At 40.3% G+C, this 18512-nt stretch overlaps 1 annotated feature.

Moving 5' to 3' along the window:
* Nucleotides 329–1528: an enhancer, noted in NCBI's record as "BRD4-independent group 4 enhancer chrX:21704726-21705925 (GRCh37/hg19 assembly coordinates)". NCBI's record gives its function as "activates an origin of replication core promoter dependent on BRD2, P300/CBP, MED14 and CDK7 cofactors, and independent of BRD4, by STARR-seq in HCT116 cells {active_cell/tissue: HCT116}" and the evidence as "EXISTENCE:reporter gene assay evidence [ECO:0000049][PMID:35650434]".

Here is an 18512-nt window from a genome sequence, read left to right on the forward strand (position 1 = left end):
CAAGATCAGCCAGGTAAGTTTAGTGTGAGAAGGTTTTAAGAAAAAGAAAATGGTTTTAAAGGATTTGAAAGAGAAGATTTATCTGTTTTCTTGAAAAGAATGGACGATATTCCAAATAAGGGAAATAACTTGATGTGGGCGAAGGATTACCCAGGTGCCGAGGCAAGAGACTGAAGGCACAAACTGTTTCAGTATAATAAAGAAAATAGTTAGAATAAGAATAGTTATAATACAAATTAGATATAGAGATGATCATGGCCATTATCAATAGTTAGTATAAACATTATAAATCATTCGCTTTTAATATGTATAAACATTATAAATCATTCGCTTTTAATAGTACTCTTTGTTGTATTACTAATATAACCAAAGAATAACTGGCGGGTATAGGGTCAGATGCTGAAGGGACATTGTGAGAATTGACCTAGAAGGCAAGAGGTGAGCCCTCTGTCACGACCACATAAGGGCCGCTTGAGGGCTCCTTGGTCAAGTGGTAACGTCAGTGCCTGGGAAGGCACCTGTTACTTAGCAGACCGCAAAAAGGAGTCTCCCTTTCCTTGGAGGAGTCAGGGAACACTCTGCTCCACCAGCTTCTTGTGGAAGGCTCGATATTATCCAGGCCTGCCCGCAGTCATCCGGAGGCCTAAACCCCTCTCTGTGGTGCCGTGCTTCAATGGTCACGCTCCTTGTCCACTTTCATGTTCCTCCCGTACTCCTGGTTCCTCTTTGAAGTTCTTAGAAGATAACGGTAGAAGAAATAGTGAAAGTCTTAAAGTCTTTGATCTTTCTGATAAGTACATAGAAGAAAACGCTGACGTATGCTGCCTTCCCTCTCTGCTTCGGCTACCTGAAAGGGAAGGGCCCCCTGTCCCATGATCACGTGAGTTGCTTGACCTTATCAATCACTTGGATGACTCACCCCCCTTACCTTGCCTCGTTGTCTTGTATGCAATAAATATCAGCGCACCCAGCTATTAGGGGCCACTACCGGTCTCCGCGTCTTGGTGGTGGTGGTCCCCTGGGCCCAGCTGTTTTTCCTTTATCTCTTTGTCTTGCGTCTTTATTTCTTAGGATCTCTTGTCTCCGCGCACGGGGAGAACACCCGCTAAGCCCCGTAGGGCTGGACTCTACACTTGAGAGGTAGGTGTACACGTAGGAAAATTCTGTGCCTATGAATAGAGTTAGATTGATTTAAATGGAACGAAATCGTGATCAAGCACTGTACCAATAAATGAAAAGTTGCTTTATAGACAATATAGTTTAATATATTAACTTGTGATTTTGTAGAATTATCTGCCTTTATTGTACATTTCCAGTGAACATTGAGTAAGCTGTCAATATCAAGACATATGGCCTCAATTGTTACAGTGGGACTAATTTCAGCTCACCTCCAGAGTTTTTAGAACAGAGTCTGCAGGCAGAGATAGACAAAGAGTATTGCATCATGTCATCTTATTCCTTGCAGCTATTGATGCAGTCAAGGTTTGCTGAACAATACAATCTCCTCTTTAAAGTTACTATTGATCCCTTCCAGTAACTCAATATGTGCTCAGCAAATTCTGAAATCATTTAGGGCTATAAAGATAATCATGGAATAAACAAAGTTTGAATGCCCTGACCGTAGTTTATAAATGCCTGATTAAAAGCAATACTGTTGTTGCCCTGTTCAGTGTTACATGTCTAGGGTCCTTTTGTAAGTGCTCCAGACCAAATGTAACTTACCTATAGTGGATAAGCATTTGTAAGTTACTCTTGCAGATATTTTCCCAGAGTTAAGGAAAACGTGTATGTTTTGAACTACATATAATTGAAACCGAAGGGTAAAGCTGATTTTCTGGATCACCTGTCACCACAAGAAATTCTCTTCTTGGATCACCATGCAGTTTGAGTCTTTTTGAACTTTATGTAATCAGTGGACTGTTTCATGACTGTTCTGAGAAATGGCAAGGCTTGAGTGTAGACTTGTTGGATTAATGGTGTCTGCTCTCGGAAGGTTGCCAAGTGGTGTTCCACTAGAAACAGAGTTTTCTGTTAGACCTGTCCTTGACTGGTTGTGGTTGATGGTGACCTGAAGAAATTGGGTTAATTGAAGAATCTGGTTCACATCATTTCTGTTTTCTAACTGCCGTTCTCTCTATAACACTTTTGGAGTGAGAATTTGAGCTAACATTCCATACAGCCTTGAGTTTTCCCTTGGTGTTTCCTTCAATCCTTTTTTCTTAAAAATCCTAAAAAAACTTTTACATAATTTTCCTAAGTATTTCATATCACCACTGCATAGTTTTTCCCATCTGGCCTATGTACACATTCTGTCATGAGGCAGTTACAAATGAGTCAAAGATGGGGCAGCTTTTTTTTTTTTTTTTTTTCGACAGAGTTTTGCTCTTGTTTTCCAGGCTGGAGTGCAGTGGCGTGATCTTGGCTCACCACAACCTCCACCTCCTGGATTCAAGCAATTCTCCTGCCTCAGCCTCCTGAGTAGCTGGGATTACAGGCATGTGCCACCACGCCCAGCTAATTTTGTATTTTTTTAGTAGAGATAGGGTTTCTCCATGTTGGTCAGGCTGGTCTCGAACTCCTGACCTCAGGTGATCCACCCGCTTTGGCCTCCCGAAGTGCTGGGATTACAGGCGTGAGCCACCACGCCTGGCCAATGGGGCAGCTTTTCAACCAGGCAGGCTCTTCATGCTGTGAAGGAATTCTTGACTGTTGCCTTGTAATCTGTCAACATTCATGCTATCTGAATCAAATCCATTCCTGAAAACACTTTGGATAGCAAATATTCATATAGAGGAAGTTTACATTCTAGTATTTTAAATGGCAAAAATAATGTATTCTCAGCTCATCCAAAAGCCACAACCAATTTTCTCAAATATTACTAAAATATTCTTAAACCCACATGTAACCATCCATCAAGGATTTAAACATAATGGAAAACACTTAAAACACCTACTGCTCTACCTAATTATTTGTGTGCAGTACTGGCCATTATATGGTGGAACAAGGATTTTCCATTTTTGGCATGCATCAGAATCAATTGAGGAGTTTGTTAAAGAGCAGATCCTGGGACCCAGAGTTTCAGAGAAAGGAGGTCTGGAGTAGGGACCAAGAGTTAGCATCTCTAACACATTCCTGCTGATGCTGATCCTGCTAGTTCAGGACACTGAGAGATGGACTGCTGTAGAGTGTATGAATTTCATCTTTCTTCTACATTCAGCGAGTATTACAAAACATAAATAACCGTAGTGGAAGTAATATGTTCAAGATACTACAAAGGATGAATGCAGATTATACTCAGAAGAATGAAATGAAATAATATGGCAATTTTCAAATAATGGTTATTGATTAATGGGAGAATTGCCCCAGCAGAGTTCGGTGACCACTGGAAGCTTCAGTCGCAGTTGGGGTTTGAGGGTAAGTAAAAGAATGAGTGGAACAGCAGATGCCTCACATCCTCCAAGTCCAAATGCAGAGAACTGAAAGGGAGCTTTATTGGCATGCAAGACTCTGGAAGTGGTGTGACCCTGAACCATCATCTGAAGTTATAGATGAAACAGTGTGAGGAGCACAAAAGCTCTCAAAACGGACATCTGTTTGTGTTCTCTTTGCTTAATATTATACACCGCTGATAGCATAAGACACAGCTTGTCATTGCATTTCTGGAATGTGGTTTTTCCTTTGATGTCATGATCATACTCACTTGCTATAGCAATGGTTTTGTGGGTATGATCTAGAATTTCTTCTGAAAATTCTGCATTGAGTATTCACAGCTTCTCTTCTTCCCTTTCCCCAAGTGATGATGAACTGAGTTCTACTTTCTGAATGAATTCTGCTTTCTTTTTTTATTTAATTTTTTTTCGAGACAGGGTCTTGCTCTGTGGCCCAGGCTGGAATTCAATGGAGCAATCTCGTCTCACTGTAGCCTCGACCTCCCAGGCTCAGGTGATCCTCCCACCTCAGCCTCTCAAGAAACTGGGACTACAGGCATGTGCCACCACACCCGGATAATTTTTTCTATTTTTTGTAGAGATGGGGTTTCACCATGTTGCCCAGGCTGGTCTTGAACTCCTGGCCTCAAGTGATCCATCTACCTTGGTCTCCCAAAGTGCTGGGATTACAGGCATGAGCCACTGCGCTTGGTTGAGTTCTACTTTGTGAGAAGACATTTTCACTTAACAATTGGGAATGCTGATCTGGATGTTGATGATGTACATCTAGACAACATGTATCCCTATCATGCAGTACCTGAGATGGGCCTGCAACACAATCTGCATCCTCTTACCTGGGTTCGCTTGCAACTTAAACAGATTTTCTGGCATTCACTTGCTGATTTGCAATAGCAGATTTTTATTTCAAATATTAAATCTGGAATAAAAATAATTGCAAGTTGTTATAGTGAGCAGTTAGGGAGTGAGAATTCAAATAATGAAGGATACCTGGATAAATAAAAACTTTACTGTCATAGGCCTGGGTACCTGGGCATATAGTGATCAACACAATAAATATGAAGCTGCCTTCATGACCTTATAGCTAGTGAGAGAGAGACAATAAACAGGCAAATGAATGAAATGTGTATTGGTACAAAATATGATACAGACTGAGAAAGGAAAATAAGAAGATGCTGTTAGAGACAATAACGTAGGAATGGGGAATGAGAGGGGACCCCCTCTGAGAAGGCAACATTTTGTCTCTGTTTATTTACGAAACATTTCGTCTTGAGTTTTCTACGGAAATGTTCAAAATACAAACAAGTACCAAGAAGAAAATAACCACCACCCACATTTCTACCTTCTGGAAATAACCTTAACATTTTGGCATTGCTTCTCCCAATCAAAGTTGTAATGGATACCTCAGAGTAGCCTGGCTCAATCTAGTTACTGTGGCTATGGAGTAAAGGGAAGTGATGGAAAGTATTTTTTAAAAATACCTATACTCAGGCCCTACTCTACACCAATTGAACCAGATCCTATGTGCATGGGTACTTTTTTTAACATGCCCAGGTGATTCCAGAGCACAGTGTTGTTGAGGTACTGCCTTAAGGACTTTCCCTTCCACTCATTTGGTCAGCTGAGGGCCAAGGGAGTCAGCTTTTATGTCTATAGAAGACCTAACCCTTCAGAGCTAGTGGGCAGAGGCTCCAAAGTACAAAGCACTTCCATAGAGAATGTGGGAAGAGCCATCCAGAGACAAATATCTCCAACTAGGGATGGAGGTCTCAGCTGCTGCTGCCCTCACTGGTGATACTGTGCTGCAGGTCATCTGGGAGATAGGAAGGTGCCAAAGTTTAGAAGGCAGACACTTCATTCTTTCTTTCATAAGCTTTATTAAAGATGTCCAATTTTATAGCCGAGAAAGAAAAATTTATTGATTCTACTTTCACAATGCAGCAGATTAAACGCTACCCATATGTCTTAGTCAGCTCAGGCTGCTATAACAAAATACCATAGACTAAGTGGCTTAAACAACAGACATTTATTTTTCAAAGTGCTGGAGGCTGGGAGTCTGAGATCAAGGTGCCAGTGACTCAGTTCCTGGTGAGAGCCCACTTCCTGGCTTGCAGATGGCTATCTTCTTGCTGTATCCTCACATGACAGAGAGAGGAAACTCTGGAGACTCTTCTTCTTGTAAGGGTCCTAATCCCATCATGGGGGCCCCACCCTCATGACCTCATCTAAACCTAATTACCTCCCAAAGGTACTAATACTGTCACACTGGAGGTTAGGGTTTCAATACGTGGATTTGGAGGAAGGGCACATTCAGTCCATGGCACCCTACAATGTCCTGAGAATCTGAATTGAAATTATTAGAAGTGGTAGGAAACCTTATCTCTGGAGTCTTTGGCTAAAAATTGCAGGGGATTGCTATGATAAGGAGAATGTCTCCCCAAAAATGTCCATGCCCTAATCCCTAGAACCTGTGAATACATTATATTACATGGCAAAAGGGGCTTTTCAGATGTGTTTGAGGCTGTGAGCCTTAAAATAGAGAGATTAGCCTAGATTATCTGGGGTCGGGATGGGGTGGCAATCTAATCACATGAGCCCTTAAAACCAGAGAAACTTCTCTGGCTGGGGGCAGAAGAGATGTGATGTGACAAAAACGGAAGTCAGAGACTTGAAGCATGAAAACGGCTCTATGCACCATCACCAGAACGAAGATGAAGGAGGCAACATGATGAGGAACAGCCTCAAGGAGATGAGAAAGGTTAGATTGCAGCCCGGGGGGAAGAAAAAAAAAAAACCAAACACCTCTACAACAGCAAAAAACTGAGTTCTACCAATAACCTGAGTGATCTCGGAAGTGGATTTTTTCCCCAGAGCCTCCAAAAAAGAGCTCAAGTCAGCTGCCACCTGGATTTCAGCCTCATAAGGCCTAGAACAGTGACGCCCACCTGGACTTCTCACCCACAGAACTATGAGATGATAAACTTGTCTTGTTTTAAACTGCCCAAATTTGTGGTGATTTTTAAGGTAGCAGTAGAAAACGAATATAACTGCCAAGGCAATTTTGAGCTATTACCCCACTGATAAACAATTTTAGTGACATTGACTTCGATTGTTAAACACAAACCATAAGCTGAGAGATGAGTGACCTGGCGAGTTTTGGTGGTCAATTTGCTCCTGGAACATTTACCCTGACTTGGATAATGTTGTTTTCTAAAAGGTCCTGAAACACTATAAAGGAAAATGTTGATGGATTTCAGAAATTATTGTGTCTGGCTAGCCATGTTTTAAAAATATGACAAAGCTATGAGTATTGCAAAAAAAAAAAAAGGTTGAAAGGAAATGCATGAATTTAGAAAAGAGATTTTACCATCATCAAGATAATTTTATCCTATAATAAACCTACAAGAACAGTAGGAACTTTGGGGCAATTTATCTTGTTCCTTGCTCGTGGATGTTGTGCTAAGCAGCTGGACACATCCCCAGTCTTTATGGTCTTCTCAATTTCTCAGCATCAGATTTCTAGCTGCTAGCCAGTGGTCCTGTTAGGAAATGCCTGCATTCTGAAATCACAACATGATGCTTTCAAAGACTTCCTTCTGGGCATATTTTATTAGCTCCAACAACAGAAACCAACTCTACTTACCTTAGAGAGAAAATGAATTTATGGCAATGTATCGAATAGCTCACAGAATTAACAGGAAGGTTAGAGAATCAGCTGTGAAAATGGGCAGGAAACAAAGGAAGCCAGGCAGTTGTATCCACTGCCAAAATTACATCATAGAAAGAGTCTATTAAAGAAGCTGCCTCTGAGCCATGGATGCTACCCCTGGCTCTGTCACCTTTGGATGCCAGCTACTGTGGATAAAGCTGCTAAGAATTCTAAACTGTTCCCTATTTCTTTCTCCAGATCTGAAATCCTGAGTGAAAGGATGCAATTTTTCTCAGCTTATATAATATGCAAAAAAAAAAAATCTAGGCCCGAAAGGGTGGGAAAATCACATATTTTAGTTTCTCTAGTAGGCGTCAGGACTCTTCTCACCTCCAAAACTTACACTGTGGATCATTCCCAGACATAGAAAAAGGTGCAACGTTTATTGAACTCTCTACCCCTTTGGCTGGTCAACACCCCTGAAGATTCATCTTCTCATATATGCAATGTTCCCACTTCAAATAATGCAAACTACCCTATTCCCAAATAAAATAATCCAATATTTCATCAGTTACTTTTTGTAGCTCCTCATCCAAGATGTCTGAAGGATACTATTTCTGTCACGATCCCTTCTCAACCACCAGCTCACTTATATACAATAGTGGTGTAAAGGAAGATGAAAGAAACAGAAATCACTCAAAATGTGAGAATATGTACATGGCACAGCAAGGAAGAAAATCTGAGTAGAGCCTGTAGTCCTAGTTTCTGCTCCTGATAATGAGTTCATTCTGACTTAGTTTCTTTTCACCCAGTTCATTGCAATTACCTTCAGTCCCATCTTGGCTGGCTGTGGTGATATGCTGGTAAATGTTTAACAATCAGATCTCTAGAAAAAAAAAGATTATATTAATTATAAATTTTATTAATGTAAAGGATATTTAGTGCAAAATTTACATCATAAAAAACATTTATAATGTTCTTTATTATAAATATTATAAATTCCATAGAGCCAGGTGACTGTCAAAGATCACTTTTGTTAATTTTTTTTCTCCAACCCATGGTTGCAATTCAACAATGATCTGACAAAACCAGACTGCAAATAAAGGCTTGCCTACTACCCAATTTGGCCAAAAAATTACTCATATTGTTAACTAATGAGTATAGTCATGACAAGGATATTGGTTGATAATTTTGTTTGCATTAACAAGTAAGATGAAACTAAAGAAATGAAGATATATGACCGAACTTCTTTTGTTCATCAATGATATGAGTTACTGCTTTACAGAATCAGATGAGTTTTCAAATATTGAAAGAATATTTCCTCAAATTTTTGTGCTGTCCACAATTTAATGGCTACAGATAGAACGTGGTTTTAAGTTTAACCTGCATTATTAACATTTTCTCCATTATTTCCTTTAGACAATCAACAAAACATATCATGATTTAATTAATTTTAAAAATACCAAAACTAGCTTTTTTTGTTTTTTGGAGACAGAGTCTCACTCTGTCACCCAGGCTGGAGTGCAGTGGCAGGATCTCGGCTCACTGCAACAACGTCCACCTCCCAGGCTCAAGTGATTCTACTGCCTCAGCCTCCTGAGTAGCTGGGATTATAGGCACCCGCCACCACGCCTGGCTAATTTTTGTATTTTTAGTAGAGGCGGGGTTTCACCATGTTGGCCATGGTTGGCCAGGCTGGCCTCGAACTCCTGACCTCAGGTGATCCACCTGCCTCAGCCTTCCAAAGTGCTGGGATTACAGGCCTGAGCCACCGTGCTCAGCCTAAAGCAAGCTTTTTGTATTAAAGCTTTACACCTTTTTCTTGTTGGACTTGAATTTCCATAGAATTTTATGCTAATAAGTATATAATTTTTATAGTTTTATTCGTACTCTATCATACTTCTCAGTGTGTGTGTTTATATATAAGTATCAACTGGAATTTTTTTCTTTTTTGTTTCTAGCTTTATTGAGGTATGGCTGACAAATAAGAATGGTATATATATGGTGTACATGTTTTGATAAACAGTGTGAAATGGTCATCACAATCAAGCTAATTAACATATCTGTCATCTGACATAATTACCATCATATTAACTGGAATTTAAAATTTCATCTCTAAGTGTTAAAAATATTCTTCTGAATTGAGTTATCACTACAGTTATTATTTGCACACAATTGTCAAAAACTGTGCAAGTATAAATGTTGATAAATAATCATTAAATATAAAAAGCAAATTGAAATTACATTTCTTAGTAATATGGATGGGCTGACTTTTAAAAATTAGCTCATGTATTCATAGATGAATAGGACTTATTGCTGGAATGAGGCAGGGTTCAGCAACAATTCAGCAATTTATTCCTATTTTTATCGTGCCAGTTCCAGGAATAGCCCTTAAATGGCTAGGCAGTTCCTGCTTCTAGACTCTTGGAAGGCAGGTGCCTTATTTTTATATTTTATTTTGATATGGCTTTGATATTGCCCTATTTTGATATTACTGGCACATTATTATAGACATAAGCACCGAGAAACCTTGCTTTTGCAAGTATGTATACAGGAAGGGAGGAGTTTTGCTATGCAAATATCACTCAATTTCTTGAACTCTTGCTGAGTATATGCTAAATGTTACATAATCTATCAACCAAAAATTATTTTTAATGATGTATCAGCTCCCAGCTCAAAGGTTTTTCAATTTTGTTGAAAACAAAGACTTAGAATTATATGACTTGAGATATTCTTTGCATCATTTAGTTTCTCCATTTATGAAGCACACCAAAAAGACATTACTAACCATACAACTATTAATTTTGCTTGTTCTTCTTTCTCCAACAGGCACCATTTTTTTTCTTTTTTTTTTTCTTTTTTTTTTTTTTTTTTTTTTTTGGTAGAGACAGGGTCTTACTATGTTGACCAGGTGGATCTTGAACTTCTGGCCTCAAGCAATCCTCCTGCCTCAACGTCCCAAACTGCTGGGATTATAAGCATGAGCCACCATACCTGGTCTCTCAACAGGCATGTTGTTTAGCCTGATGTACTTAGAGAAGTTAGCACAAGTTTTTTTCATTAAGTATTTGTCACTACATTATTATTTCTAAAGTACTTTCATTTCAACACATGCTTTAATTCTATTTTCATTAAAAGCTTGGAAGTGCAGCTTTAGCTCATTCAAGATGCCTGCCATATACTGCAATCTAAAAAAGCCCATCCTCATTGTCAAACCAATTAGTCAAATAAGAGTTGCCTCTCTGTCATGTGACATCTTATATTCTAGAGCCTCTCCTTGAGACTTGGGCTTCTTACAGCATGGTGGTCTCAGAGCAGTTTCTCTTCTTATAGGGTGGTGGTTTTCCAAGAGTCAGGAAACATAAACTGCCTGGCCAGTTAAGGGTTACACCTGGAACTGACACCATGTCATTTCTATCCTACTCTATTGATCAAAGCAATCATAGGGCCTTCTCAGATTCAAGAGGGTGGAGAAATAGACTCCACTGAGGGAGGGAGTCTCTGAGGGAGTCTCAAAGTCACATTCAGAACACCATCAAGATGGTAGATATCATTGCCACCATCTTTGGAAACTACAATCTGCCATAAACAGTTTCTGAGAATGTTTCAGTAATATTTAGAAACTGAGGAAACAACCTTGGGATGGGTTCAGTGTCCCACAGGCCCTACCGTTAGGTGGACTCCTGTCCAAACTCCATTTATCTTCTGTCCATCTGATTAATGGGTCACAGTAACTTTCTTGGTCCTCAGGAATTAGTGTGATCTCAGAGTCAGTGTCCAATAATCCCCCAAAGATGTACATTTTTCCCTTTCCCAGTGCACATTTACTAAGGTAAAATGAGTCTCGCAGTGGAGTCTCACTGATGAGGGCTGGAAGGGAGATCCAGAAAGAATTGAGGAAGTCTTTGCAGTGTTATTTCTTGGAGCACACAGCCTCCCTTTCACTCAAGGAGCCCTGGTCTGAAAGTTAGGGGACCAGGTTTTAGAAGTAGGCGAGAGGTCCCAACTTGGTATTTTTATTTTTTGGCATATGTCTAACCTCTGTTCACCAGATATGGAATGGTAGTGGTGGTGTTATAGAATCCAGATTAGGGGCTTAATAGACTATCTAGGATCCTCACACCTGGGGATCCCATGATCAGTCCATTACTGCCACAGATCCCTGTGGCTTCGACTCTTCTAATTTTCAGTCTAGGAACCATGATCATCTTGCTTCTGGAATTAAGTACTGCCTCCTCGTCTCTGTCATGTCAAGATACTCATAACACATTGACATCATGAAGCCTGTTTCTACATATTATCTCCTGGCAGTAATTCTGGTTGACAGAGGAGAGGCACTCCCCTCACCAATTTATTTCTCAAGGCCATGAGGAAAGGAATTGTCTTTTGGGGGTTCTCAAGTAACATCATCAGTGTAAATGTGGAAATGAATCAACTCAAACGTTACTATGTTCATAAGTCTTTAGAGTTACTGCAAATGAATTTCTTGCATCTCAACTTTATTTATAATAAGCCACAACTGAGTCCAGGTTTTAGCCAACCAACCAAGTAAACTATTAGAACTACTTTCAGCCTCAAGTTAGCCTACTGGATCAAGAATATCTGGTAAGTCGACCCATATTGATTAATTCAGCCCAATATAGAGTTTTTTCTATTTTTGGTCTAGCACCTCAGAATCCACTTCCACATATATTTCCCAGATTTTTATAGATTATAAATCACCAACATGCAATTATTTTGGCATGTAAGCCTTCTTCTTCTGTGGAGACTTGGTGATTGGCCCCCAGAACATGCTGATCTGATTCTAGAGGTGGGAGTAGAGCGTGAGAATTGGCTTTCTGTTGAGTTGCTCCTTTTGGTAAGAGGTCAGTTAAAATTCAGGGATTTATTATTGAGGAAGAAGGGAAGAATGCATACTGTGAGACGCCTAGATCTTTCTGCCACTTTTAAGATATTTTTACATTTTACTGTGGTGAAACTGCCTTCTACTTTTTCTATGTCCCCATCACCCCCAAACCACCATGGTATGGAAGCTGATCAACTGAAAAGACTTGCTCGCTCCCCTTCAAGCCCAGGGCTTCCCAGGACATCATATGACAATCTATTCAACCACATTTCCTATGCTGATAGTTTCATTTCCTAATTCTCTCTTGATGCCATTACCTCATTTGCCCTTATCACTGCAGAGCCTAGCAGGCGACCAAATCGTTGATATTGATTACATGTTCTGTTCAAGTCCTCTTTCTCTTTTGCTCTTTTTATCAATTTATTCAAGGATGCTTTCTTATTGAACTAATACTTAAGTCCCAAGTCGTGTATAGTTTTGTAATGACTTACACAAATAAGAGTGAGGGAAAGTCTGGTGTGCTTTTGAACCGTGGGATTTAACCATGAGGATATTTTATTGAAGCCTTCAAAAAATCCTAATAGATTAAAACATGCCGCTTTTACAAAGAGACATTTGGGTCTGATCAACTGTTTTCTTAGGGACACATCTATTTTTTAAAATAAAAACAAGCCTTTGTAATAACAGTAATCTTATATGTTAATAGTATATGAAATAGCTACTAAAACAACCATGTAATGTTGTTATGCAGAGAGATATTAGATTAGATGAATATAGATACATGGATAGATAAATATATGCCTCCCTGACTTTATCTCTGCATCATTATAATGAAAATGTAGTCTGGAAAATGTGCAGGAGGGGAGAGATATTTGTGGAATTATATGACAGAGGTTGTTCTTTAGAATTTCTATGTTTTAAATTATTTTCATCATCAATACTGCTTCCAAAATGGGAGCCCTGGTAGGCAAAAACAAGTATGCCACTTCCCTATCCAGTGGTTATTGGACCCCTCACCGATTTTTAGTGGGAAAATACCAGGAATAATTCATGTTGATTCACTTCCTGAATTAAAATAATGAGGTATGCTTAGCCAGTGACATCTTCAGTAGAAAATGTGTTCTGTGATCTGCTACAATAAGTATTTTATTTTGCCATTTATACATAGAAGCTGTAATGGGCCCTGTACTTCACCCATGTCCTCCTGGCTACTATGTTTCAGTGCACACAGCCCAGCTTCCAAACTGCCAACCACTGCATTCCTTTGTTAAGGGCTTCCCGTGTCCGACAAAACACACTTTGCCTGCCCTGTGTAACAGGTAGTCCTCAATAAAAGAAGGATGGGAGTTGGTACACAAATACCGCAGCTCCCTCACTCCTCAGCTGAGATCACTCTGAGGTGTATGTTCTATTCAGACTCCCAGAACTTCCCTGGTGAGATTAAGCCTGTTACCCATAGTCATATCTGACTTCACAGCCCCTCCCTTCAGTTGCCTTCCCTGCTTCATCTCACCTCCCCAGTTCCCTACTGGTGTTTCCTTTCCTGCCTAAACAAGCTACCTTCCCTTGAACCCTCATCTCAGAGTCTGGTACTGGGGAAAGCAAACTACGACAGAAGCCAAAAAGAAAAGAAAAGCTTATTGATGTGCTAACTACCCTGGACTTTGGCCTGAATCATAACTTCTGATTTAGATAGAGAAATCTGGATTATGGAAGATATTGAAATTAAGTCAAAATGGTTTGAATCATGACTTCAATCACTATGTAGTATAGATTAATTTTTAAATCATTGTTGGTCTTTTTTTATATAAAATAGTCCTCCATATACTCATCAAGTATAGTCCTCAATGTAGCCCTCAAAAATGCTTATCAAAACTCCAGTAGACTATTTTGGAAGTGTCTGGGCAAAGGAAAGTGCAGTATCCTTTCCTCCAATGGCACATGGCCGTGCGCTGCATCAGGGCTCATGGCCTATTGATTTTGCCGCGGGTTTAGTTTTGAAAACACATGCAACCATTTAAAGTGATTATTGCTCTTTCTAATATGGCAGCCAAGGTTAAAATGCAGATCAGTCTGAGCGAGAGACCAAGCTCTGGCCCATAAGAAGCTGCAAGCAGGCAGGAGGGCTGTGGCTATGCTCATGTCATTAGAGGAAGGAGAGCAAATGGGGATTAAGGAAGGGCTGGTGCCCGAGTCATCCCAGGGCAGTTCCAGATCACATGTGCATCAAGACTATGTGACATTTAGATGTCTCGGGTCACCCCAAGCCACCAGATTCTCTTCTAGTCCTTGCTGTACTTGGAAGTTCCCGCATGTACTCCTTACACATCAGAAGAAAATAGATGATGAGTGTTTGATTGTGCATGAAGCAGATAGATTTCCTCTGCTCAGCTAGACTGCAAAGAAGCCACCAAACCTTCGGTGACCCACCAAAGGGCTCTAGGAGTAAATCACTCTCCCTTCTCTCTTTCTGTCATTCTGTTTCTCTCCCTCCCTTTTTTCCCCCCTCGCCCTCCTACATGTCTTCCTCTTTACTATGTCTTAAGCAGCAAGCAAGCTCTGAAGCTTAAAAAACAGATGATCTTTTACATGTCTTTGTTTTGGTAAAGTCTTGTGACACCAGACTGCCCCTGAGTCATTCTTCACAGCTCCCACCTCCCTATGACCCATCCACCTCGTATTTGGGCATCTGTAAAGTTCCCAGCACATCTGTAATCAGATAGAATGCATCAGGCCCCCCGAGGAAGAGTCTGTTGTCCTAAAAATCTGATTTTCAGACCATAGCAAGTGATTTCAGCTTATTTACCGGGATCAAAATTTGGCAAATAACCATGATGTTTGAGGACCAGAGACTATTACATAATCATCCTTCAGTGGAGACAATGAGGTCACATGTTTACCCATCTAATCGATGATCAGGGACATGTTTCATTGCAGATAATGTGCTCACTGGCCCACAACTTAATTACTGAGTGTCTGAATCAACAAAGCTTTCAGATGTAGGTCTTGCCTAATGGTGCATCTGTTAAAGATCATTGCCTCAGTTTGGCCTCTAAAAGAAAGGTCTGGGGGATACAACAGGCCATTGCCAGTGCTGTTCTCAATGACCTCTCATTGAAAAACATGCCAGTTCCCACGGTTTATTTTCTAGCCAGCAATAGACATTATTGTGTATATGCAGGGCCAAGTAGAACCAATGATTCCAGGGTGACAGATATTGGTAAATCCTCTGGTGAAAGCATGCTCTCCGAGGAAATTAATGCCACACAACAGAGAGGGGGTGGCTCCCCTCCCAGGCTAGGAAAGAAAATGTGTCAATAAAAGTCTGGGGAAATAAGCAAGCAATAAGCAAAGTAGGACCAAAATGTTGGGTGTATTGGTTGGGGTCCTTGCAGTAGACCAGGATCTAACTACAGAGTTTGGAGTCCAATGGTGTCTTTTGAAGGGTCATTTCTCCTGGTTAATTCTTCCTTCTGAATTCCCTACCCTATGTGTGTGATTTTCCTGGATTCCAAATAGAGCTCCTACCCTCCTGCTCCTGGGCCATCACTATCACAACCATGATGCCTAGCAATGAATTCAAAATTTGGGAAAAAGAAAAGTTTGGAGTTTTTGTTTGTTTGTTTTTTCAAGATTTAAAGAGCCTTGGCCAGGCACAGTGGCTGACGCCTATAATCCCAGCACTTTGGGAGGTCGAGGCGGGTGGATCACTTGAGGTCAGGAGTTTGAGACCAACCTGGCTAATGTGGGGAAACTCTGTCTCTACTAAAATTACAAAAATTAGCTGGGCGTGCTGGTGCGTGCCTGTAGTCCTAGCTACTCAGGAGGCTGAGGCACAAGAATTACTTGAACCCGGGAGGCAGAGGTTTCAGTGAGCCGAGATCACACCACTGCACTCCAGCCTAGGAGCCTGGGTGACAGAGTGAGACTCCATCTGAAAAAAAAAAAATTAAGGAGTCTTGGTCCATGCACTATTATTATATCACTGGAGGCAGCTATGCTATCTCCTGTTTCCTCATCTGCAAATTTAAATAAATGCAACATGCCATTTTAAGGAAATTATAACAAAGTTGGATCCACCAGATGATTTTAGAATGCTAAGCGAAGGCCTAATTTCCAATACTAAGCAGAAATCCCATGCCCTCATGGGTGTCTGGCCTTCTACAAGTTGAGATGTCTCCTTTGGCTTCTTCTGATGCTCCTCTTCTCCCACTGAATGCAGGAAAACTCACCTCCATCAGAGTGAGGAGGGTAAGGATTGCCTGAGATCAAGAATCTGTGTGTTGTCAGGGCCAAAAGACACAGTATGAAACAAAGCAAAACAAAATCATAAATCAAGAACAAAGCCTTCCCTGTTTTTTGTTTTTGTTTTTGTTTTTCCTAAACCTTGCCATCAGCTATAAAGCAGCATGGATTGCGTGGGTGGATTGGATGTTGGTGTGTTCCAAATACTTCAGAAAAGAAATTCCTTCAGGATCCTGTCTTTTCTAGTGCACCATCAATGCGTGAACAATATTAAGCAGCAGGAATAGTTTCCCGAGAAGTCTAGACCCCCATTCTGTATGTCTAGAGACATGAGCTATCCCAACACTGGAGTAAAACCTGTCGGCACACCTCCTCTAACCATGGCCCTCCCAACAAACAATCAGATTTGAAAAATTCAATTTGAGAGTGCAGACCTGCTTTGGCTTTGCAGCTAATCTGCAGACATTTGAAGCCCAAGGGGAAAGCCTTCTTCCCTCTGGAATCTGCACTGTAATATATCCTCACTGAACCAGGGAAAGAGCTGGTCATAAAAAAGAGCCTTGTTATTTGATAGTGTGGTTTCTCCTAGTCGGTGGTGTCACTGAATTGTTTTGCTCAGAAGTCAAATGTTAAGGGATTGATTTTCCTCCTTTAATAAACAAGCACAGGGGTGAAGGATGTGAGGCCAAGCACATTCCACAATCTGAAAATGATTGCTTAATTGAGGTTGCTTTTCTTTCTCTGAAGAACACCTTTAGGTGATGATGTTAAGGCTGCAATCTTATTTTATGGCTGAATCCCCTCTTTTAATAATCGGCATATATATTTTTTTGACTTTGTGTGATTTGCCTTCAGTGTAAGAGCTAAACAAGTTTGGTCATTTGTGTAGAGAAAAAAAATGAGCTCAATACATGACCGCTAAGGATTTTCTTAGCCTGGCAACATCCTGGTGGGTTGCTTCCTCTCTTCGTGAGTGCTCTTTGTATGGCTTGCTGAATGAATACATGATTGCATATGAACATTATGATAATATATCCTCTCCTTTGGAAAAGCACAGAAATGTAATTAATGGTATGTGAGGCAAAGAACTAGCCATGGGCCACAGATGCATACATTCAGCAGCAGGTTAAAATCCCAAGACAGCATCAATTATCAAGTTAAATGCAGTTTCTATTTCAAGCTAGATTGCAAAGCAATGGGATAATGCCAGAGGCCCTCAGAAGGAACTAATTTTAATTGATCAACCCACAGTCCTTGAATCCAAATGAGCCCTGTTCTCATTGCCAAAGGGGGAACCCTAATTCTAGGTCAGCTCAAGAATGTAGAAGAGGGATTTCGCAGGATGGCACATTAAAATTAGTAGTGTTCCTTACATGGGCCTGATCATAATGGGAGACTTTTTGTAAATCCTCTAACTGCTCTAGTTAAAAATGAGGGATTCATTTGGGTAATTATCATCTCCCATGCCCTGGGCCTAACTTAGAAAACTACTGTGTCATTCAGCTATTCAGTAAGTAACCTTGGAAACAAAGCTAATTACCTTTCAGTCTGTGCTGTTGAAATGTAAAGATCATACAAAATGAGTGCTTGAGATAATTCTAGAGAGGCTTATGTGTTCCTAATGGCTTCTGCTCCAAACAGAGAAGCTTTCCAAGTGTCCCGCAGGTCCTGGACCCAGAGGGGCCTTCTTTCACTCATGCCTCAAGCACAACATAGGAAAATCCCATACATGGGGGAGGGGGAACAGAGAGGTATGGGTTGTCTTTTTTTTTTTAAGCAAGGTGATTTTCTGGATGAATGTGTTCTGTGTTCCCCCAGCACTTAGCCTATAGACTGACACATAGTAGGCATCCAGGAAATGTGGGTGGAGTGAAAGTTGTATTGCACTCAAAGACACTCTCCTTGTAGTAGAGTATGATTATCATACTATTTACAGTGTGCACACTAAAAACTGGGTATGGTACCTTATGCTTATTCACACCAGAGTTGTTTCTCTCCTAACGAATCTTCATCTATTTGTACTTTGTTTCTCCTTCATGGAAAAGTTGCATAATAATTGGTTGTTTATAAACCTATAAGATAAATAAGGCTGTTTCCGTGAGACATATGGGTTTTTAAAGAGCCACTTAGCATGTAATGTGTGAATTTTAAAAATTATAACTTCATTGAAAGCAAAGACTCTGTCTTTTCCTATATTATACTATATGTGCTATCTAATGAATGATAGAATGTGGAAGTTCCTAAATCCTATATATAGTGAATTTGAGCCTCAACAAAATATAATACATATTAAATTTAAAATTCAAAACATCCATTGAATTTGTCT

The sequence above is a fragment of the Homo sapiens genome, chromosome X, assembly GCF_000001405.40.
Source record: "Homo sapiens chromosome X, GRCh38.p14 Primary Assembly".
Lineage (NCBI taxonomy): Eukaryota > Metazoa > Chordata > Mammalia > Primates > Hominidae > Homo > Homo sapiens.